Below are 22,052 nucleotides of genomic sequence, written 5' to 3'. Positions count from 1 at the left end.
GTTCACTCAGCCTCGGTGTTTGAGTATCTGCCATGAGCCAGACACTCTGCAGGGCCTCAGGGCAAGGTGTCTAACTCTAAAGTTGCTGCTGGTCTGGAATAGAGGAGAAACCTGGCGCTCAGCGCTGTGCTGAGGCTTGTGTGAAATGTTGGGGACCCAGGTGAGGGAGCAGCCAATGCCAGCAGGGAAGATCTCACACGTGGATTGCAGCCTGTATTCAGGTTCAAGTTCTGTAGTGGCTGCTGTCAAAGTATGTTCCCCAAGCAGCCCTTAGCTGATCTCTTAATTACTCATGTTTGTAGCTGGGCAATGTGTCGAAAGCAAGGATTAATAATACACTTTTGATGTCTTTCACTCCAGTGTCGTCAAGAACATGGTTTTCTCTTTTGATTTAGGTGACGAAAGGTCTATGTGTAGTGAGTGGAAGCTGATGAGGCACTTGCTTTCCACCTGTTTGTCCTGAGTTCCTCTTGCCCTTTCCTCCTTTAGAATCATAATAGATGACCACAGGTATGGAACCTGAAGAACAGTTCTCCAACATAAAATTCATAAGCCCTCTTACATGGGTGATTGTTACTAAAACAAAAACAAAACCCAAAACCCCAAAACATGACCCAGCCACTCTCCTTCTCTGGACCTCCAGTGCTAAAGCTCACTAAATACATAACCACTAGTATTCTAATTCAAAAAGGAAGAAAAGTCAAACTATTAGAGAAGACATTGCCATGGGCCTAGAGAGTTCCCATCAGATCTCCTGAGCAGCCCAAGCATGAGCCAGTTGGATGGAAAGCCTGTTATTTATCTCAAGAGATGCTGGATTGGATCAAAGAATTTGTTTTTTAAAATGCCTGGTTGTAGGGATGGGGAGGTGGTGAGTGAGGAATCAATTTGGACATTTGGGGCTGAAAGCTTCAAGAGGCATTCCATTCAGGTGATCAGTGTTTTCTATCCATGTGAAGTAACAATACCATTAGCATCTTGTTCCTACGGACATTAGGGAGGGATTCATTTCCACCTAGCTCCACTAAGACAAATTGACTTCAAGAAGGCACTAGCTCTTCCTAGTAGATGGTACTTGTTCAGTGGCAGACACTGTGAATTGTCTTCCCAATTATCAGTCTATTCTCCACTTCTTCCTTAGTGACAGAACCCAGGATTATGATTGATCCAAGACGACCATGACAATCCCCTTCCTGATTTCCCAGTCTTTCTTACAGCTAAGGAAGTCATTGACCCAGTTCTAGCCAATGAGTTGAAAGAAGGGTCTGGTGGGGGAGCCTCTGAAAAATTTTTTCTGGTTCTGTCTTTCCTTTTCCCTCTTTTCTTTTTTCTTTTTTTTTTTTTAGACAGAGTTTTGCTCTTGCTGCCCAGGCTGGAGTACAATGGCACCATCTTGGCCCGCTGCAACCTCCGCCTACGGGGTTCAAGAGATTCTCCTGCCTCAGCCTCCTGAGTAGCTGGGATTACAGGCGCTTGCCACCATGCCCAGGTAATTTTTGTATTTTTAGTAGAGGCGGGGTTTCACCATGTTGGCCAGGCTGGTCTCGAACTCCTGACCTCAGGTGATCTGCCCACCTTGGCTTCCCAAAGTGTTGGGATTATAGGCGTGAGCCACCGCGCCCAGCCCATTTCCCACTTTCTTTATGATTTGAATGCAAATGAAATGCCTAGTAATGCTACAACCAGATTGCAATCAAGAGCCAAAGACTGTGAGGCCAAAAGGTCAATATAATTGGGACAACACACTGGGAAATAGAGTCAGTGTGGTATCACTGCGCACTTGAGCCAAAGTGTGCAACTGTCCACCTCTGGATGGACTATATCCTATGTGAGAAAAATAACCCATGTTTGTTTCAGCCTCTGAGAATTCGTTTTCTAATTTTGCAGCCAAATGTATTCCTAACTTATACTATGACCTGGTAAAGAGCAAAAACCTCCTCTTTTCTTCTCTTCACTCACCAAGTGTCTGCAATAGCTCACCTTTCACACCTTCCACTTGCAAACATATATTTATATCTGTTCTGTAACTTCTTGAGCTCTTCAGGAGAAAGGCACTCCAGAAATATTAAGTGTTTTGTACACATGTGCTCACTTCAATCTCTCAAATATGTACAGATCAGCTATTTTCTGGTGATACTGCACTGGTGCTAGGGGTGCAAAGATGAATTCACAGCCCTGCCCCCCAGGAAGCCAACAGCTTAGTAGAGAACACAGCTTGTGAAGAGAATATTGCAATTTTGGGTAGGAGAGGAGCTTGTGCTGTAGAGAGAGCTGATACAGGAGAAGAAATGATGAACTATCTGTAGAAAAGGAGGGAGCCTGCAAGACCTGAGTTGGGCATCCATTAATGAATGGAGTTTCTCCTGTCAGAAAGTGGGGAAGGGAGGGCATTTCAGGGAAAAGAAAGTCTGAAAGAGCTTGGTGGTTTAGGAGCCTCAAATGCTACAGGTCTGGAACCACACTTCAGGTCTTCCTTCCAAACCTGACCCACTCTGTTGCCCATCCCCCAATGCCCCCCACCCCCCGCCATCTAGTTGGACCACCCAGAAATTTTGTAAAGCTACTTTTCCCCCATCAACCCTCCTTGAGGTTGAGCCTGTTGAATCTGTCCAATTTTGCCCATCTGTACCACCAGCTGAGACTAGAGCCCATCATCACCTCTCTCCAGGACTTTCCCAGGAACCTGTTAGCTTTTCCCTCTGTAATCATATGCCACTTCTCTCTTCTAAAGCATTCTCCCCAGTGTGGCCGGGGAGAGCGTCTTGAAACCCAAAGCTGATCTTATCAATTCACATTATCTGTAGTTCAATGAATTCTCATTGCTCTGATGATAAAACCAAGATCCCGAGCTTTGTCTGAAGGCCCTCATGACCTGGCCTGACCCACTCTCCAACGCACCTTTCTCAGTCCTCCCCTCCATCTCTGTCCTCCAGCCATGTTGCCCTGCTTTCAGATCCTTTGACAGCAATATTCCTTCGTGTCACAGGCTTTTTGAATGTGCTCTTCCCTCTTTGTGAAGAAGACCCCAAGTGTCAACTCCTCTCCATCTTTCAGATCTCAACTAAACCTTGCCACAACTTATCTGAATCTCAGCTAGGTCACCCTCTTCTATAAGCTCTCAAAACCTCATGTACCTTTCTTTTGTGCATTTATTACAGTTGTATGATGACAATATCTGTTTAATGATGTAACATTTGTCCTCCAGGCTAGACTGTGGTATTCATGACCTCAGGAACCATCTCTGTCACCTTTGTATCCTTATCTCACAGCACAGAGGCTAGCACATAGTAGGTACTCAATACACATTTGTTGAGTTCTGAAAGAAATGAATAAATTAGGGTTGGGGACTGGAGCTACATATCTGAGGGTTTGTAACGTTTCTCAAAAAAAGTTTATATCAACTTTACTAAGGGATAATGTCATACAATAAAACGCACTCCTTTTAAGTGAACAGTTTAATGAATGCTGACAAATGTTTACTCTGATATAACCACCACCTTTATCAAGGTATAGACTATTCCATCTCCAAGAAAGTTATCTTATCCCCCTTTGCAGTCAGTCCCTATGCCCAGCCCCATGCAACTGAAATGAGAGAGCTCCCTGACCCCCTTGTGGGATGTGAGGCAGGGGTGTGGCTCATTTGTTTGGCCACTGCACACTCAAACTTCTTATGGGATGGGGAGCAGATGGGCAGGTGCAGGAGCCAGGGCAAGTGCTTTTGGGCTCTGGGCCCATAGTAGCATCTAGGGGTGGATGCCTGTGACTCCTAAAGCCCCAGTGGGCATATTACAGTGCTCTTTTAGCTCTGCTGTCTGCAGATGGCCTAAGTGTTAACCAGCTCAGTACCCTCTTGGTACCCAGGTTTTTGCCCAGCATCCAGGAAGAATCAGGTCACATGGACAAATTGAGGGACAGTAAATGTGGGGGATTTTATTGCTGGATGGGAGTGGCTCTTGGTGGGATGGATGGAGCTGGAAAGGGAATGGAGTGTGAAGATGATCAACCATGGAGTTTGGCCGTCCTGCAGCCGATCTCCTCTCCGACCGTCCCCAGCTGAACTCCTCTCGATGGTCAGACCCTCCTCTTATCTCCTTTGCTGCTCTGCTCTGCCGCTCTTTTGCTCCTCTGCTCTTTTGCTCATGGGGTTTGGGGTTTATATGGGTACAGGATAGAATGATGTGGCAGGCCAGAAGGCAACATTTGGGCACAAAACCAGGAATGTCTATTCCCATTTAGGGCCGCAGGTTTCCAGGCTTGAGGGTGGGGCCTTTGCTGGGGAACTGCCCTCTTTTATCCAGTACCTCCCTGCCTCCTGTCAGTATCACAACCACGGAGCTATTACTGTGGATTAGTTTTGTCTTTTCTGGAGCTTTGTGTACTAGAATCATACATGAAGAACTATTTTGTCCTGACTTCTTTCACTCAGCCTATGTGATTCACCCATGAGTTATGTGTTATATGTAGTTTATTCCTTTTTACTGCTGATTGGTATTTCATTGTATGGATATGCCAGTATTTGTTTAATCCATTTACCTTTTGGTGGACACTTAGTTTGTTTCTAGTTTTTTTTGATATTACAAATGAAGGTGCTTTGAATATTTGTGTACAAGTCCTTTTGCAGATAAATGCTTTTATTTCTCCATGGTAAATACTTAGGAATATAGTTTTAAGAATCATTAACATTTAAAACAAAGATAAAACCTTAGAACCACACTGAGATACTACTTCACACCCACTAAGATGGCCATAATTTTTGAAAGTGTTGGCAAGAATGTGGAGAAGTTGGAATCCTCATACATTACTGGGGAGAATATAAAATGGTACAGCTGCTGTGGAAAATAGTTTGGCAGTTCCTCAAAAAGTTAAACATAGAACTTCCATAGGACCCAGAAATTCCACTCCTAGGCATGTACCCAAAAGATTTGAACACAGGAATTTAAATAAAAACTTGTATATGAATGTTCATAGTAACACTACTCGTAATAGCCAAAAGATGAACACAATCCAAATTTCCATCAACAGGTGACTGGATAAACAAAATGGGATATATCCATACAATGGAATATTATTCAGCAATGAAAAAAATGAAGTACTGATACATGCCACAGCATGGATGAACCTTGAAAATATGCTAACTGAAAGAAACAGACACAAAAGACCACATATTATGTAATTCTATGTATATGAAATATACAGAATAGGGAAATTCATAGAGACAGAAAGCAGATTGGTGGTTGCCAGGGGTTGGGGAAAGAAAAGTGGGGAGGGATTGCTTAATGGCTACAGGATTTCTATTGAGGGGGATAAGAATGTTCTGGAACTAGGTAATGGCTATATTTGCACAAAGTTGTGAATGTATGCAATGCCACTGAACTGTACAGTTAAACATGGTTTAAAGATTAAATTTGAGACCAGGTGCTGTGGCTCATGTCTGTAATCCAAGCACCTGAGGAGACCAAAGAAGGAAGATTTCTTGAGGCCAGGGGTTCAAGACCAGCCTGGGCAACATACCGAGACCCATTCTCTACAAAAGAAAATTAGTCAGGCATAGTGGCGTGTGCCTGCAGTCCCAGCTACTCAGGAGACTGAGGTGGAAGGATCGTTTGAACGGAGGCATTTGAGGCTGCAGTGAGCTATGACGGCACAGCTGTACTCCAGCTCGGGCAACAGAGCAAGACTTCATCTTTCAAAAAATAATAGTTAGGCTGGGCGTGGCAGCTAACGCCTGTTAATCCCAGCACTTTGGGAGGCCAAGGCAGCAGGATTGCTTGAGCCTGGGAGTTTGAGACCAGCCTGGACAATATAGTGAGATCTTGTCTCTACAAATTTTTTTTTTTTGATTAGCCAAGTGTGATACAAGTGTGTATAGCAGCATGCCTGTAGTCCCAAGTGCTTTGAAGGCTGAGGTGGGAGGATTGTTTGAGCCTGGAAAGTGGAGGTTGCAGTGAGCTGAGATCACACCACTGCACTCCAGGCTGGGTGACAGAGCAAGACCTTGTCTCAAAAATAAATACATAAATAAATTTTATGTTATGTATATTTTACCACAATAATTCTAAAAGATAAAGCCTTAGAGGGGTGTGAGAGGCTGGGGCAGTGTTTCCCACCCTCTGTAAAAGCTATTCCTTCATGCACTACAACTGAGGGTGGGCATGTCTGTCAGCTCAAATGTAGCCCTGAGCCTTCTGTGCAAGTCTCTGTGCAGAGAGGAAGCTCCATCTTGCCATGAGGAAAAGTTAAGAGGCATGGCACTCCATCACTTAACATCAGGCCAGGGCCGTGCAGATTCCTGGGTTGAGAAACTTGACTTCACAAGAAGAGTACATAAAAGAGAGCAGGAAGTTCTATTCAAACACCCACACTGTGCCAAAAGGCAACCAGGGTGGCGATAGTTCAATATAGCTGTGGATGCATTTTAATCCCATCAGGCTGCCTCCAAAATTTCTCCTGCTCCAAAATGTGTTGCAAACACAAAAGGCTGAGATCTACTTTCTTCATTTTTTGGAGTGAGAAGAGAGGATAGTCAAGGCGTGTGGAGAATACAGGGCTTTACTGAACAGGCAGAGAAAGAGGAAACAATCCACAGGGCAGGTGGGAGAGAGGGGCAAGAGAGAGAGGAAAGAGCCCAGGAGAGTGAGGACACAGAAACCAAGGGGAGAGAAGACATGGCTGGTAGTGTCATGCTACACGGAAGTCACATTCAGCGGCCAAAACACGTGACAAAGGGAAGTCATCAGTGACCTTGGTATTTGCAAGGTCAGTGCAGTAGGCCACTCAGAAGGCTGATCTTACTGGGCTGAGATATGGGAAGTACCTGAGGAAGTAGAAACCACACTTCGAGTGTATTTTTCAAAAACCTTGACCTAGAAGAGAAACAGAGAGACAGGGCCATGTCTAGAAGAGGAGCAAGAATCTAGAGAAAGTCGAGACTCTAACATGTTGTAGGGTAAGAAAAAAAGATCCAAGACAGAAAAAAGTTTCAAGATTTAGGAAAGCAAGAGAATTGTAAATGGAGCAAGGCATTCTCTGAAATTCCTTCTTAAACCTGTTCTTTGAGAAACTGAGAAGAGCTTTGCTAAAGAATATTTTACAATATTTTTAAGACCTTTGATCCTTCCAAGTAAATAACATAAAGTAGTATAGAAAGCCTGGATCTTGGAGACAAAAGACATAGATCCAAGCTGGTTTGTCTATATCCACATTGCCAACTGGCTGTGTGATTTTCATCTTTCAGTAGTTTGTTAGATCCTTAAATCTTAGTTGTTTGAGGTGCAAGGCAGGTGCAGTCATTTCTGCTGTGCCTCAAAATCACTATCAGAATACCTAGAGGTGAATTCTATGAAATTCTTTAAAGTGCAAACACTGCATTTTACTATGAAGGGCCACAGAAATAAAAGAAACTACCTGTTTTACCGTATCGTATTTTTAATTAATCTGCACTCCAAAAACACCTACTGAAAAATAATTATTATTTAAAATAAGGACTGTAACTGCCAACTATTCTCACCTTGCAACCTCCAGCCTGTTATTTCGGAGTACTTCCCTTTGTCTACACAAGGGCCACCTTTTTGCACACTGTGAATACAAAGGACTGTCACTGCAATGTAGGAACAAGGGGTGGTGCGCCTCCTGAGGCCACTCCCTACTTCTCTCCAAGCCTGTTGCACTGCTAAGATTGCTTTTCTTCACCAGTCTTCTCTTGTCTCTTCTTTGCCAGTATGGTCCATTATTCACAAGGCAAACTCTGCTCTCAGCTTCGTGGTGGAAATGGCCATTTGGTTTACAGTAATTGACAGTTTTCTAAGGGCTTTCCCCTCCATTGTCATAACGATCATCATCACAAGTGGAGGCCTCAGTCACTCTATTTGAGATGATGAAATGGGGGCTTAGAAGTGAATGGGCTGACAACAGTCCCAGGGCTGGTGAGGAGCAGAGCTGTGAATGGAGATGAATCCTACTGTCTTGCCACCATGCCACAGGATGGTCATCTCACTGCCAGCACAGGGCTTGTTGCAAGGCACCTTTATTGAATGTGTGACTGGACAAATGACTCATGAACATTTCAGCTTAGTCGTGCCCCCTGCACCCTCCATCCTGGTAAGAGCTATCCTGTCCTAATGGAAGCTCTTTTTAGAGGATTCTGTTCTCTTTCTGGCTTGTTTGTGGTAATAGCACTGACACTCACTGATTCTCTCAAGTGAGGAACCTGGGTCATCCTAGTCTTCTCCTTGATTTCTACCACCACCATCTAATCCATCACAAAACCATTGACCTTCTGCCTCCCAGACACCTTTCCCTGTTGGCCCCTGGAGCCACTGCTTTAGCTCAGGCCTGGTCTATTGCTGTCATCTGCAACATGATGTTATGGGCTCCAATGCTGTGTTCCCTCCTCCTAACTCTTCTCCACCCTGAAGCCATAATAATCTTTCTAAAGCAAAATTTTAATCATCTAACTCACCTGCTTAGAGTTCCTCAACCACTCTCTTTTGAGCTTAAGATAAAGCCTAAGTAACTTAGTATCATCTACAAAGACCCCCAAGATTGGCTTCATCTCATCTTCTGACTCTGCCACCCCACAACCACACTGTGCTGCTGCTGTCCCAGAGGGCTCGGAGCCCCTCACATTCACCTGACTCTGCCTTCCTCAAAGCCACTTCTTGTCCTGGTATACCTTTTCCCTCCTTATTTCCCGGTGAACATCTTATCCTTCAGTATCAACACTCACCTATTCTGAGAAAGCTTTCTGAACCCTCAAGGAAGACCAGGGCTCCATTTCTCAATATTTAACATCCTCATCCCCTTTGTTCTTAAGCACTTAGAGCATGACATTGTAACTGTCTATTTGTCTATATCCTTAAGGGCAGAAATGGTGCCATTGTCCCAGTACCACCAGCACTGAACAAAATAGGCTTCACATAATAAGTCAGCACTCAATAAATCTTGAATTGATGAATAAGTTAATGACAGAGTATCTAATCCTCTTTTTCTTGCCTGTCCAGGGAAAATTCTGCACCAGAAAGACTACAGCTTAGTGGTGATAAGTCAACAAAAGTGGATGCTTTACTTCTCTCTTGGTGAGAAAGGACTCTAGCTTCAACCTCATGGTGTGAAGTCACAGAGCCCTTTAGAACAGAATGATAGAATAAGAAAGCAAACAGTTTTTGAGCAATCCTGACTTGGCTCTCTTTGTAGCTTTGCTTTTTTTTTTTTTTTTTTTTTAAATAGTGGGGCAAACTTCTGAACAATCATCACAGACATTTCAAATATGAAAACAAAAAGTAGTTCAAGGCCAAGTAGACATGCTTTAAAATTTTTTGCCATTTTGGGCTATCTGTGCTCATACTCCCTAAATAGAGTCACATTGTTTACAGGGATGATCAAGGATAGATTGTTCTCAAAAGTCCTGGAGTTCTGCACATTAGGATAACACGACATGGCATGTGACATGGTGATAAATTGCCACTTACTGGCAACGAGGAATAGTGATGACTTCTGTATCTAGTCAACCAGGTGACATAGCCAGGCCTTGGTCAGTCAATTCTCAAAAAAGAGAGACTCATCTTCCACCCACATCTAGAGGGTAACAAGTTCAAATACAAGATAGCCATGTTTCCCTGTCATTAAAGAGATTATTTCTTTTTATTTTTCAATGCTGGCATTTCTTGACCACAGAAAGGTTGAAGAAAGACATTGTGTCATGTAGAAAAAAAAGAATAGCATGCTTGTCTGATGGCATTGCCTACCAGTTTTCTATAGCTTAGTAAGAATAAAAGACTGGGTCTTGAAAACACTTGAAAAGAGATGATCATAAATCAAAGTACACCTTAATCAGCTTAACGTATTAATCCTTCTTCTTGGCTATTCAAGAGAAATAGTCAGGAAGCACTTAGTGAAAATGGGGGAAGGCATGAGCCTGGAAAAGCTTGCTGACGAATGAAACACCAGCCAGATTATTTTACCAAAGGGCATGTGATCCAGCTCAGAAAAAAAAAATGCATATAATTTTAGTGTGCAACTCCCATATATCTCCACAAAGCCAAAATCTGCATTATAATATAGAAGATGTAAACGGGCAGAAAATATACTTGCAAGTTCCTTAAGGACCATAAAGAACTGCTCATTGTCTTGGAGAGGAAAGGAACTGGAGGGGTGGGGGTGCCAGAGGCGTTTGAACCAGAGCAACTCCATCTTGAATAGGAGCTGGTTAAAGTAAGGCTGAGACCTACTGGGCTGCATTCCCAGATAGTTAGGCATTCTAAGTCACAGGATGAGATAGGAGGTTGGCACAAGATACAGGCCATAGAGCTGGCCCAAACCCACCAGAACCAAGATGGCGACGAGAGTAAACTCTGGTTGTCCTCACTGCTACACTCCCACCAGTGCCATGACAGTTTACGAATGCCATGGCAATGTCAGGAAATTACCCTATATGGTCTAAAAAGGGGAAGCATGAATAATCCACCCATTGTTTAGCATATAATCAAGAAATAACCATAAAAATGGGCAACCAGCAGCCCTTGGGGCTGCTCTGTCTATGGAGTAGCCATTCTTTATTCCTTTACTTTCTTAATAAACTTGCTTTCACTTTACTCTGTGGACTTGCCCTAATTTCTTTCTTGCCTGAGACCCAAGAACCCTCCCTTGGGGTCTGGATTGGGACCGCTTTCTGGTAAAAGGGGGAAGCTACCATCTCAGAGTAATAATAATAATAGCTAATATTTATTAAACATTTTCTACCTGTGCTTACCAGTGCCTATAGGCACTGCTCTAAGCACTTTACTTGTGTCAGTTCACTTCATTCTTACAATAACAATTAATCTTACTTTCTGGCCTCTGCTCTTAGCCACACTATCTCTGAGACCAGAACTTGGTGGGTTCTTCCAGGTGTGGGCAAACAATTGCACTGTGGCAACTCCAGTAACAAGCCCCCTTTCCTTCTTTTGATTTAAATAGAAAACAGAAAAAAGTTTTATTCAAGGTTCCTTTTATTTTGCTTTTAATGCTAAAGGAATATATTGTCCTTGGTTCCCTGTTGAGATAATTTGGAAAATACAGAAAATTACCAAGAATAAAATTACGAATCACTCACAATTCTTCTACAGCACAAATAACCACAGATAATACTTAAATGCATTTCTCTGAAACACATGAACACAGACCCATCTATATGACATATGTATACACCCATGTTCTGCTTTTTTCACTTAACATCATATCATGAGCAAGTTTCCTTGTCATTACACAGTTCAGTGGAAAGAGTGAAGGGACCCAGGAAGCTGAAGGTTTGTTTTATGGTTCACTCCTCCTTTGATGGTTCGACCTGGGAGTGACATTACTTTTGAGGGCACCTTGATTTCAAAATCTAGTGTTTATTTGTTGTCAGATTGAGGGCTACACCCACTTGTGAATGGAAAGTCTGCATCTGTAAAATAAAATGACATTTCACTAGAGGTCAAATCACAAGGAAGCAAAGAGGGGATGGGCACGCAGCTCAGTTATAGCAGAATTGAATTCGTCCTGCTCTTTCTCTTGACTGAGGGACAGCACTGAACCCCAGCTGAGCAGTGGAATGTAGGAGGAAGGCTTGATGTAGCTCTTGTTTTTCTCACCTCTGTTATCTACACTTTAAAGGCCCATTAACTGCCTTTCAGTTGCTATCTAAAGGAGACAGAAGCTTCTTAGGGCTCCTCAATCAACTCCTCTTTCAGAGAAAGAATGAAAGGGAACACCTGGGTACATTGACACATGTAAAATAACAGTGCATACATGCTGTCCTGTCTTTGTCAGCCCAGTAAAATGCTTTTTTGAGTAGCTGGATTTCCTAGTGACAAACTTACACAAGGAGTTTTCAAATAATACTTATCTTGGGAGAAATATTTGTTAGCTGTCTCTTTCCTTGATTCAGTTTGACAGATTCCTTCCCTCTACAATTTATCTCATTAATGCATTTTGCGTTAATTTTTTTTTTTAAATCAACAGTTAAACTAGATTTCTAAGGACCCAGGAATTTAGCAGTCTGGTGCTTGGTAAACCATTCCAGTGGATCTTTTGTTCTAAAGTCTTCAAATTGAATCAGTGAAACATGGACAGAAATACTATGTGTGTGTGTGTGCGTGCGTGTGTGTGGTACCTGCTGCCTTCCTAAGATAAAATGTCATTTCTTATAGGTGCTGAGATTGAGATATATATACCTTGAGCACAGAAACCTTGATTTCTAGAATTCACAGGACTAGTTGATAGAGTTATTGAATCACAGATAAAGATAAGATTAATCCAGATCAATCTATTAATTTATTTCTTCTACTGTTTTATTTCTCTAATTCCAATGAAAGATGCCACTGAAGTAGTTTGGATAATTTAGTGAAGGAATGACAGGATTGTTTTCATTTTTCAAAAATGTATTTTTTATTTTTTATTTTTGAGACAGAGTCTCACTCTCACCCGGGCTGGAGTGCAGTGGTGAGATCACGGCTCACTACAGCCTTGACCTCCTGGGCTCGAGCAATCCTCCTACCTCAGCTTTCCGATTAGCTGGGACTACAGGCTCACCATGTCTGGCTAATTTAAAATATTTTTTTGGTAGAGACAATATATTCCTTTAGTGGACTACATAGCCCAGGCTGGTCTCAAAACTCCTGGGCTCAAGCCATCCTCCAGCCTTGGCCTCCTAAATTATTGGGATTACAGGGATCAGCCACCATTTAAAAACTGATTTTTAAAATATCAAAGATAATGCACCTATTTTAACCATAGTGCTAAAATTCTTATATGAAAAACAGAATTTCCTTGCTTCGGTTTCCCCCTTCCTCTTCTGCTGAGGCAACTTTCATGCGCGTCCGTGTGAAGAGACCACCAAACAGGCTTTGTGTGAGCAACATGGCTGTTTATTTCACCTGGGTGCAGGTGGGCTGAGTCCGAAAAAAGAGTCAGCAAAGGGTGGTAGATTATCATTAGTTCTTATAGGTTTTGGGATAGGCGGTGAAGTTAAGAGCAATGTTTTGCGGGCAGGGCTGGATCTCACAAAGTACATTCTCAAGGGTGGGGAGAATTACAAAGTACATTGATCAGTTAGGGTGGGGCGGAAACAAATCACAATGGTGGAATGTCATCAGTTAAGGCTATTTTTACTTCTTTTGTGGATCTTCAGTTACTTCAGGCCATCTGGATGTATACGTGCAAGTCACAGGGGATGCAATGGCTTGGCTTGGGCTCAGAGGCCTGACATTCCTACCTTCTTTTATTAATAAGAAAAATAAAACAAAATAGTGTTGAAGTGTTGGGGCGGCGAAAATTTTTGGGGGGTGGTATGGAGAGAGAATGGGCGATGTTTCTCAGGGCTGCTTCAAGCAGGATTAGGGGCAGCGTGGGAACCTAGAGTGGGAGAGATTAAGCTGAAGGGAGGTCTTGTGGTAAGGGGTGATATTGTGGGGATGTTAGAAGAAACATTTGTCATATAGAATGATTGGTGATGTTAGAAGAAACATTTGTCATATGGAATGATTGGTGATGGCCTGCATACAGTTTTGGATGAATTGAGAAACTAAACGGAAGATACAAGGTCCGAATAAAAGAAGGAGGAAAATGGGTATTAAAGGACTAAGAATTGGGAGGACCTAGGACATCCAATTAGAGAGTGCCTAAGGGGGTTCAGCATAATTACTTGCTTGGTTGGCAAGTTTTTGGGCTCTATCCTTGAGTTTTTTTATGTTGTCATACACCAAGCCAGATTGATTTAGGTAGAAACAACACTCTTCATTTAAGAATATGCAGAGTCCTCCTTTTTCAGCAGTGAGTAAGTCAAGGCCTCGGCGGTTTTGGAGGACAACTGCAGCTTAAGAGTCAACTTGGGCCTGGAGGACTGATAAAGTTTGTGTTATGTCTGTGATGCTAGCAGAAGTCATTAGACAGGCTACAGAAGGTCATAACAGAGGTTGAAATGCCTGCTATTCCAGTACCGAGAGCAATAGTGGAGGCAGAAAGTCCTAAACCGACCATCAAGGGAATTAGTGGAACAACTCTTCTTTGTCGTGTGGGTGTCATGAGGGGAACAGGGAGCTCTTTGGTCCTATTTGCAAATTGAATTTTGGGGGTAAGGAAGACTACTGTGCATGTGCCTGTCCAATTAGCAGGTAGACACATGTAGGTAGAGGATCCACAGAGGAAGAAGAGACCTTGTGCGAGGCAAAACTGGAGATGTAAAGTAAAAAGATGAGAAGGAGAGCTGAAAGGGGTGTCTTGTACCTAGAGTCCTAGGGATCCAGCTAGGGCGGCAGCTGTCAGAGGTTGTAATGAGGACTGATTGGGGTAACTGCTTAGAGGGGGAGGTTCGATTTTCATGGTGTATGAGAAAACGTTGAGTATCTACGAGCAATCTTTCACTGTTATTTTCGGGGCTGGGTATAAGTAAACAAGAAGAGGGCCTGGGAGGAGAGTCTGATGAGCAAGGGGAAGGTAGCCAAGGATGGAGTGAAATACAGGGTAAGTGTCTTCCTAAGCAATAATTACTGCTAATGTTTTTAAGTTTGTCAGTATTGATAGAGGGCTTGTCTGTAACATGGAGCGGGAAGGCTCCAATTGTTTCAGTGATGTGTGTAGTTGGGCTTCGGAGATGAGGAGTAAATGAACATTGAGAAGGTAAAAGGTTACCTAGGGGAATTCCAGTGGGTCTTTGCCGAGAGATACATAAAGGAGTGGCCACAGGAATAGTAGTTTGTGTTGTGAGAGGTCTGAATATGGGGGGAGTAGAGTTAATATAAGGAGAAAGGTTTTTTAAATAAGTGCGAAGGAGGGCAGCAGCTTGCTGATGTGAAATGTCTGGGGAAGTCTTGCTGGACCTGTCTAGAAAGTAAATGAGTTCTTCAGGAGGGTAAAGGTGAGGGCTGTTAAAGGAAGTTCGGAGGTGTAGGGAGATGGGAGATGTTGCCCAGTCTGCCTGTAAGGCGGGGACAGCTGTGTAGGCACTGGAAGAAAGGGAAATGCAAAGCCAGCAGTTGTTCACTAAGGAGGTATTAGAAGCGGCTAGGAGAGAATGGGTAAGGTTGATAGTGTGGTGGAGATAGCTGGGGAGAGGTAGAGGGTGGCATAAGAATGGGAATGAGAATAAGAGTGAGTATAAAATAAAGAATAGAACTTCATCAGGGTGGAAGTATTGGAGGGTGCCTTGCCAGCAAAGATCATCTATCCACTCTAAGAGGGAGTTAAGAGTGGCAGTTTGGGGATAGCACCAAGAGATATCAGCTGTGATGGCTTGAAGAAACAGTGTAAACCAGTGGTGTAAACAAGAGTAGGGCATTTATAAGTAGTTGAGAATGGAGAATAGGAGTATGACCAGACAGAAGATAGTAGGGATGACTAGTTTTTTGGGACTCGGCCTAAGTGGTGGGGGTGACTTGGTAAAGTCCTGCTGCAAAAAGTAAGGTAAGGACGAGCAGACCTAATAGAATGAAGGGATGTATTAGGCTCATAAGGGTTATTACTGTTCTTCAGAAATACGAGTGAGTTTAAGGGAAGTAGGGGAGAGTACTTGCAACTTCCAGGAGGAAGAGGAGGGATTAGGCTGGCTGTCCTACGGACACAGCTTTATTCTGGAATGGTGAACCTAGTGGGGAGGATCCTGCAGGCAGACGGCAGTCGGGGTACTATAGATGATGAAGTGGGGTCCGGTCCATCGAGGTTGTAGAGTTTGAGGGGTCAGATTCTTAACAAGAACTGATCGTCCAGCTAGGGTGTCTTCATGTGGCTGGGGATCTGGAGTAGGCAAGAGAAGATTAGCAGCCTGTCTAGCCTGCTGGAGGACTGGAAGATAGTCGCCTAGAGGGCTGGTGTCTGGGATGAGGTTGGGGCCAAGCAAGAAAGTGCGTCCATATAAAAGTTCAAATCGACTGTACCCTGTAGCATCTCGAGGACAGGCTCTAATTCTGAGAAGAGCAAGAGGTAAAAGTACTGTCCAATCCTTTTTAAGTTGGAGGCTGAGCTTGGTGAGGTGTACCTTTAAAAGACCATTAGTCCGTTCTACCTTTCCTGAAGATTGAGGATGATAAGGGATATGAAGGTTCCACTGAATACCAAGAGCCTGAGAAACTGCTTGGGTGATTTGACTAGTAAAGGCTGGTCTGTTATCAGACGTATAGAGGTGGGAAGGCTAAACTGAAGAATTATGTCTGACAGAAGGGAAGAAATGACTGCGGTGGCCTTCTCAGACGCTGTAGGAAAGGCCTCTACTTATCTAGTGAAAGTGTCTACTTAGACTAAGAGGTATTTTAGTTATCTGACTCGGGGCATGTTGAGTGAAGCTAATTTGCCAGTCCTGGGTGGGGGCAAATCTTCAAGCTTGATGTGTAGGGAAGGGAGGGGGCCTGAATAATCCCTGAGAAGTAGTAGAATAGCAGATGGAACACTGAGAAGTTATTTCCTTGAGGATAGATTTCCACGATGGAAAGGAAATGAGAGGTTCTAAGAGGCGGGCTAGTGGCTTGTACTATAGCATAGCCTGCCTTTGCTGGTGTGTGGCGATTAGGCCTTGGAACTGCCATCAATAAATCAAGCATGATCAGGGTGAGGAACAGGAAAGAAGGAAATATGGGGAAATGGGGGGAACGTCAGGTGGATCAGAGAGATGCAGCCATGAGGGTCAGGTGTGGTATTTGGAATAATGTGGGAGGCTGGATTGAAGTCTGGGCCAGGAACAATGGTAATTGTGGGACTTAACGAAGAGTGAGTACAGCTGAAGGAGCCAGGGAGCAGAAAGTATATGTGTCAGGTGTGAGTAAGAAAACAGATTTTGGAAATTATGAGAGCTGTAGAGAGTGAGTTGAGCATAGTTTGTGATTTTTAGGGCCTCTAAAAGTATTAAAGCAGTGGCAGCCACTGCCTGCAGACATGAGGGCTAGGCTAAAACAGTAAGGTCAGTTTGTTTGGACAGAAAGGTTACAGGGTGCGGTCCTGGCTCTTGTGTAAGAATTCTGACTGCACTAACCATGGCTAGGAAGGAAAGGAGCTGTTGTTTTGTAAGGGATTGAGGTTTGGGAGATTAATCGGACACGATCAGCAGGGAGAGCACGTGTTTTTATGATAATTATGCCGAGATAGGTAACAGATGAGGATGAAATTTGGGCTTGACTGAAGTAATGGGGGCTGTCTATGAAGCCTTGCAGCAGTACAGCCCAGGTAATTTGCTGAGCCTAATGGGTGTCAGGGTCAGTCTAAGTGAAAGCAAAGAGAGGCTGGGACGAGGGGTGCAGGGGAATAGTGAAAAAAGCATCTTTAAGATCGAGAACGGAATAGTGAGTTGTGGAGGAAGGTATTGAGGACAAAAGAGTGTACGGGTTGGGCACCACAGGATGGATAGGTGAAACAATTTTGTTGATAAGGCGCAGATTCTGAACTAATCTGTAAGACTTGTCCAGTTTTTGGACAGGTAAAATGGGGGAATTGTAAGGAGAGTTTATAGGTTTTAGAAGCCCATGCTGTAGCAGGCGAGTGATAACAGGCTTTAATCCTTTTAAAGCGTGCTGTGGGATGGGATATTGGCGTTGAGCGGGGTAAGGGTGATTAGGTTTTAATGGGATGGTAACGGGCATGTGATCAGTTGCCAGGGAAGGAGTAGAGATGTCCCATACTTGTGGGTTAAGGTGGGGGGGATATGAGAGGAAGACGCGAAGGAGGCTTTGGGTTGGGGAGAAGGGCAGCAATGAGATGTAGCTGTAGTCCAGGAATAGTCAGGGAAGCAGATAATTTGGTTAAAATATCTCGGCCTAATAAGGGAACTGGGCAGGTGGGGATAACTAAAAAGCAGTGCATAAAAGAGTGTTGTCCAAGTTGGCACAAGAGTGGGGGAGTTTTCAGGGGTTTAGAAGCTTGGCCGTCAATACCCACAACAGTTATGGAGGCAAGGGAAACAGGCCCTTGAAAAGTAGGCAACGTGGAGTGCATAGTCCCGGTTTCGATTAAACAGGGGATGGACTTACCCTCCACTGTGAGAGTTACCCAAAGCTCGGTGTCCGTGATGGTCTGTGGAGCTTCAGAGGCGATCGGGCAGCGTCAGTCTTCAGCCGCTAAGCCGAGAAGGAGTCAGTCAGAGAGCCTTGGGCCAGAGTTCCAGGGGCTCTGGGAGTGGCTGCCAGGTGAGTTGAACAGTCCGATTTCCAGTGGGGTCCCGCACAGATGGGACACGGCTTAGGAGGAATCCTGGGCTGCAGGCATTCCTTGGCCTGGTGGTCAGATTTCTGGCACTTGTAGCAAGCTCCTGGGGGAGGAGGTTCTGGAGGAACGCCTGGCCGCTGCAGTTCAGGCCTTTGGAAGTTCTTGTGTGCTGGAGATGTGGCTGGGGTTTGTCTCACAGTGGAGGCAAGGAATTGCAACTTTTTTCTATTATTGTACACCTCGAAGGCGAGGTTAATTAAATCCTGTCGTGGGGTTTGAGGGTCAGAATTTAATTTTTGGAGTTTTATTTAATGTCGGGAGCAGATTGGGTAATAAAATGTATTTTGAGAATAAGACGGCCTTTTGACCTTTTAGGGTCTAGGGCTGTAAAGTGTCTCAGGGTTGCTGCCGAACAAGTCATGAACTGGGCTGGATTTTTATATTTGATGAAAAAGAGCCTAAACGCTATCTGATTTGGGATAAAGAAAAAGGAGTGTTAACCTTGACTATGCCTTTAGCTCCAGCCACCTTTTTAAGAATAAATTGCTGGGCAGGTGGGGCCTCCCACAGAACGAAACTGTAAGCCAGACCTGGTGTGAGGAGGGGAGGTGATAGGATTATAGGGTGGAGGAGCGGAGGCTGAGGAAGAATTGGGACCTAGCTCGGCCTGGCAAGGAGGGGAGAGGTCAGATAGGTCTGTAGAAAAGGAAGATTAGAAAGACTCAGTGACGCTTGGGGTTGGGACTGAGGGGAAGGAAGATTTGGGACGAGTTGCACTGGGCACAGAGACTAGGAAGGGACTGATGTGTAAAAGAATGCCTGGACGTCAGGCACCTCAGACCGTTTGCCTATTTTATGACAAGAATTATTTAGATCTTGCAGGATGGAAAAATTCAAAGTGCCATTTTCTGGCTATTTGGAACTACTGTCGAGTTCGTATTGGGTCAAGCGGCATTGCAGAAGAAAATAAGGCATTTAGGTTTTAGGTCAGGTGTGAGTTGAAGAGGTTTTAAGTTCTTGAGAACACAGGCTAAGGGAGAAGAAGGAGGAATGTAGGAAGGTTGCCCATAGTGAAGGAGGCAAGCCCAGAGAAAAGGGAGCATAGAGACATGGAGGGAAGGGGTTTGGGGGTTCTTACCCTCCAGAAAAGCGGGAAAGGGGTTGGGGCATGGAAATAAGGGATTGGGGTGCAGAGATACAAGGTTGGGGTACTTGCCCCTCCCCCAGAAAAGCAGGACTTGCTGCTAAGGGTGAAGGAGAAGGGGTTGGGGGGTTCTTGCCTCTGCCCCAGAAAATCAGAGAAGGGGTAGAGACATGGAGAGAAGGAGCTGGGGTACTTGCCCCTCCCCCAGAAAAGTGGGACTTGCTGCTAAGGGTGAAGGACCAAGGCAGGCATCCCTGCGTGGTCTGACACCGCTGAAACGTGGGTGAATGATCAGAGAGGCGTCCCTGCAATGGTTAAACACCAAGGGAAGGCTGCCTTCCCAGTCCGTGACCAGCGCCGGAGTTTTGGGTCCACAGATAAAATGTGTCTCCTTTGTCTCTACCAGAAAATGAAAGGAATTGAAATCAAGAGAAGGGAGAGATTGAAGTGTGGCGCCAAGAATGAAAGGAGAAAGAGGTTGAGGGATAGTGAGGGAGGTTGGAGAAGAGAGTAAAAAGAGGCCACTTACCGGATTTGAAATTGGTGAGATGTTTCTTGGGCTGGTCGGTCTGAGGACCTGAGGTCGTAGGTGGATCTTTCTCATGGAGCAAAGAGCAGGAGGACGGGGGATTGATCTCCCAAGGGAGGTCCCCCAATCTGAGTCACGGCACCAAATTTCATGCGCGTCTGTGTGAAGAGACCACCAAACAGGCTTTGTGTGAGCAACATGGCTGTTTATTTCACCTGGGTGCAGGTGGGCTGAGTCCAAAAAGAGAGTCAGCAAAGGGTGGTGGATTATCATTAGTTCTTATAGGTTTTGGGATAGGCGGTGAAGTTAAGAACAATGTTTTGCGGGCAGGGGTGGATCTCACAAAGTACATTCTCAAGGGTGGGGAGAATTACAAAGTACATTGATCAGTTAGGGTGGGGCGGAAACAAATCACAATGGTGGAATGTCATCAGTTAAGGCTATTTTTACTTCTTTTGTGGATCTTCAGTTACTTCAGGCCATCTGGATATATATGTACAGGTCACAGGGGATGCAATGGCTTGGCTTGGGCTCAGAGGCCTGACAGCAACCACTCTCTATTTTTGTTTTTTTTCTTTTGTTGTCTGCATCTATGTGTTTATAAATATGCATAAACTTCTATTTCTCAATCGTTTCTCAAACGTTTTAGACGTTATCATCTAACTTGTATCATGGTAGATGAAGATTTGCTTTTGTAATTGCTTAAATGTTTTTTTTTTATTTTTGAGACAGGATCTTGCTCTGTCACCCAGGTTGGAGTGCAGTGGTGTTATCATAGCTCACCGTAACCTTGAATTCCTGCGCTCAAGCGATCCTCCCACTTCATCTTCCCAAGTAGTTAGGACACACGTGGGTGCACACCACGACAGCTGACTATTTTTTTTTTTTTTTGAGACAGAGTCTCACTCTGTTGCCCAGGCTGGAGTGCAGTGGTGTGATCTTGACTCACTGCAACCTCCGCCTCCTGGGTTCAAGCAATTCTCCTGCTTCAGCCTCCAGAGTAGCTGGGACTACAAGTGCACACCACCACACCCAGGTAATTTTTGTATTTTTAGTAAGATGGGGTTTCATCATATTGGTCAGGCTGGTCTTGAACTCCTGACCTCATGATCTGCCTACCTCGGCCTCCCAAAGTGCTGGGATTACAGGTGTGAGCCACTGTGCCCGGCCAGCTGGCTAATTTTTTTAACTTTTTGTAGAGACGAGGTTTCACTATTTTGCCCAGGCTGGTCTCAAACTCCTGGGCTCAAGAGATCCTCCTGCCCTGGCCCCTCAAAGCATTGTGATTACAGGTGTGAGCCGCTGCTCTCTGGCTTATAATTGGTTCATTTATTTAAATTGGATTAGTTTTATTTGGATCTATTGCTAAATTTTCTTCCACCCCTAGTTTTACAGTGTAAATTTCAAATAATCTATCCATTATTTTCTCCTACTCTAAACTGGGCTGGCTGCTCCCTAGGCCTGCTAAACAGCTGCCATCCTGGTGGAATGGGAAGTTTCCTTATCCCCCTGGCAGAACTTGTGACAGGGCGTGGCTCTCTTCTTTGGTGCCCCCCTGCTCAAACCCCTATGGGGAGCATGCAGACAGGCAGGTCATGGGAAGCATGGTCTCCAACTCCATGGCAGTGTCTAGGGTTGAGTGTTTACAACTCCTGAAGCCCCAGTGGGCATGTGTTAACAGTGTGCTCTTTCAGTTTTGCCGTCCACAGGCAGCTTGTGTTAATCAGCTCAATTAGATCTTCTGTCTTATTGCAAGGACAGAGGGCTTTCTGTGTCCTGGGTTCTTGCCCTAGTGTACTGGAAAGCCCACATGTGGGCTTGGAGGATGGGTACAAGGTTTTATTGACTTTTATTGTCCTTTACTGGTGGAAGTAGCTCTTGGTGAGATGGATGGGGAGGCTAAAAGGGGGATGGAGTGGGAAGGTGGTCTTCCCTGGAATCAGGCCGCCCAGAGCCCAGACTTTCCTCCAACCGCCCCCCACTGAATTCCATGTCGCCTGCCATCGATGGCCTCCAAGTGTCTGCTGGTGCCTGTTGGTGTGCTCTTCTGCTCCTCTGCTCGTCCAGCTGCTTGTGTCTATGCCTGTTACTGTCTTGAGTTTGTATAGACACAGGATGGGGGGCGTGGCAGGTCACAGTAGTCTTCGAAAATGCAACATTTGGGCACAAAAACTGGAGTGCCTGTTCTCACTTAGGTCCGTGGGCACAAACCCGATGGTGGAGTCCTCGCTAGGGACC

At 44.6% G+C, this 22,052-nt stretch overlaps 5 annotated features.

Annotated features, from left to right (window-relative positions):
- Positions 10,902-11,731: an enhancer, noted in NCBI's record as "OCT4-NANOG-H3K4me1 hESC enhancer chr7:29833237-29834066 (GRCh37/hg19 assembly coordinates)". NCBI's record gives its function as "activates a minimal SCP1, AML or CMV promoter by ChIP-STARR-seq in naive and primed H9 embryonic stem cells {active_cell/tissue: H9 hESC(naive and primed)}" and the evidence as "EXISTENCE:reporter gene assay evidence [ECO:0000049][PMID:30033119]".
- Positions 10,902-12,562: a biological region, named in NCBI's record as "hESC enhancers GRCh37_chr7:29832406-29833236 and GRCh37_chr7:29833237-29834066". NCBI's record gives its function as "regulatory_interactions: WIPF3".
- Positions 11,419-11,831: a transcriptional cis regulatory region, noted in NCBI's record as "candidate enhancer chr7.1421 targeted for multiplex CRISPR interference". NCBI's record gives its function as "positively regulates WIPF3 gene expression with high confidence in K562 cells {active_cell/tissue: K562}" and the evidence as "EXISTENCE:mutant phenotype evidence [ECO:0000015][PMID:30612741]".
- Positions 11,732-12,562: an enhancer, noted in NCBI's record as "OCT4-NANOG-H3K27ac-H3K4me1 hESC enhancer chr7:29832406-29833236 (GRCh37/hg19 assembly coordinates)". NCBI's record gives its function as "activates a minimal SCP1, AML or CMV promoter by ChIP-STARR-seq in primed H9 embryonic stem cells {active_cell/tissue: H9 hESC(primed)}" and the evidence as "EXISTENCE:reporter gene assay evidence [ECO:0000049][PMID:30033119]".
- Positions 20,730-21,324: an enhancer, noted in NCBI's record as "H3K27ac-H3K4me1 hESC enhancer chr7:29823644-29824238 (GRCh37/hg19 assembly coordinates)". NCBI's record gives its function as "activates a minimal SCP1, AML or CMV promoter by ChIP-STARR-seq in naive H9 embryonic stem cells {active_cell/tissue: H9 hESC(naive)}" and the evidence as "EXISTENCE:reporter gene assay evidence [ECO:0000049][PMID:30033119]".

The sequence above is a fragment of the Homo sapiens genome, chromosome 7 (assembly GCF_000001405.40).
Source record: "Homo sapiens chromosome 7, GRCh38.p14 Primary Assembly".
In the NCBI taxonomy this organism is placed as follows: Eukaryota; Metazoa; Chordata; class Mammalia; order Primates; family Hominidae; genus Homo; species Homo sapiens.
Note: the sequence above shows the minus strand (reverse complement) of the source record. Positions and strands in the feature narration are given on the sequence as shown.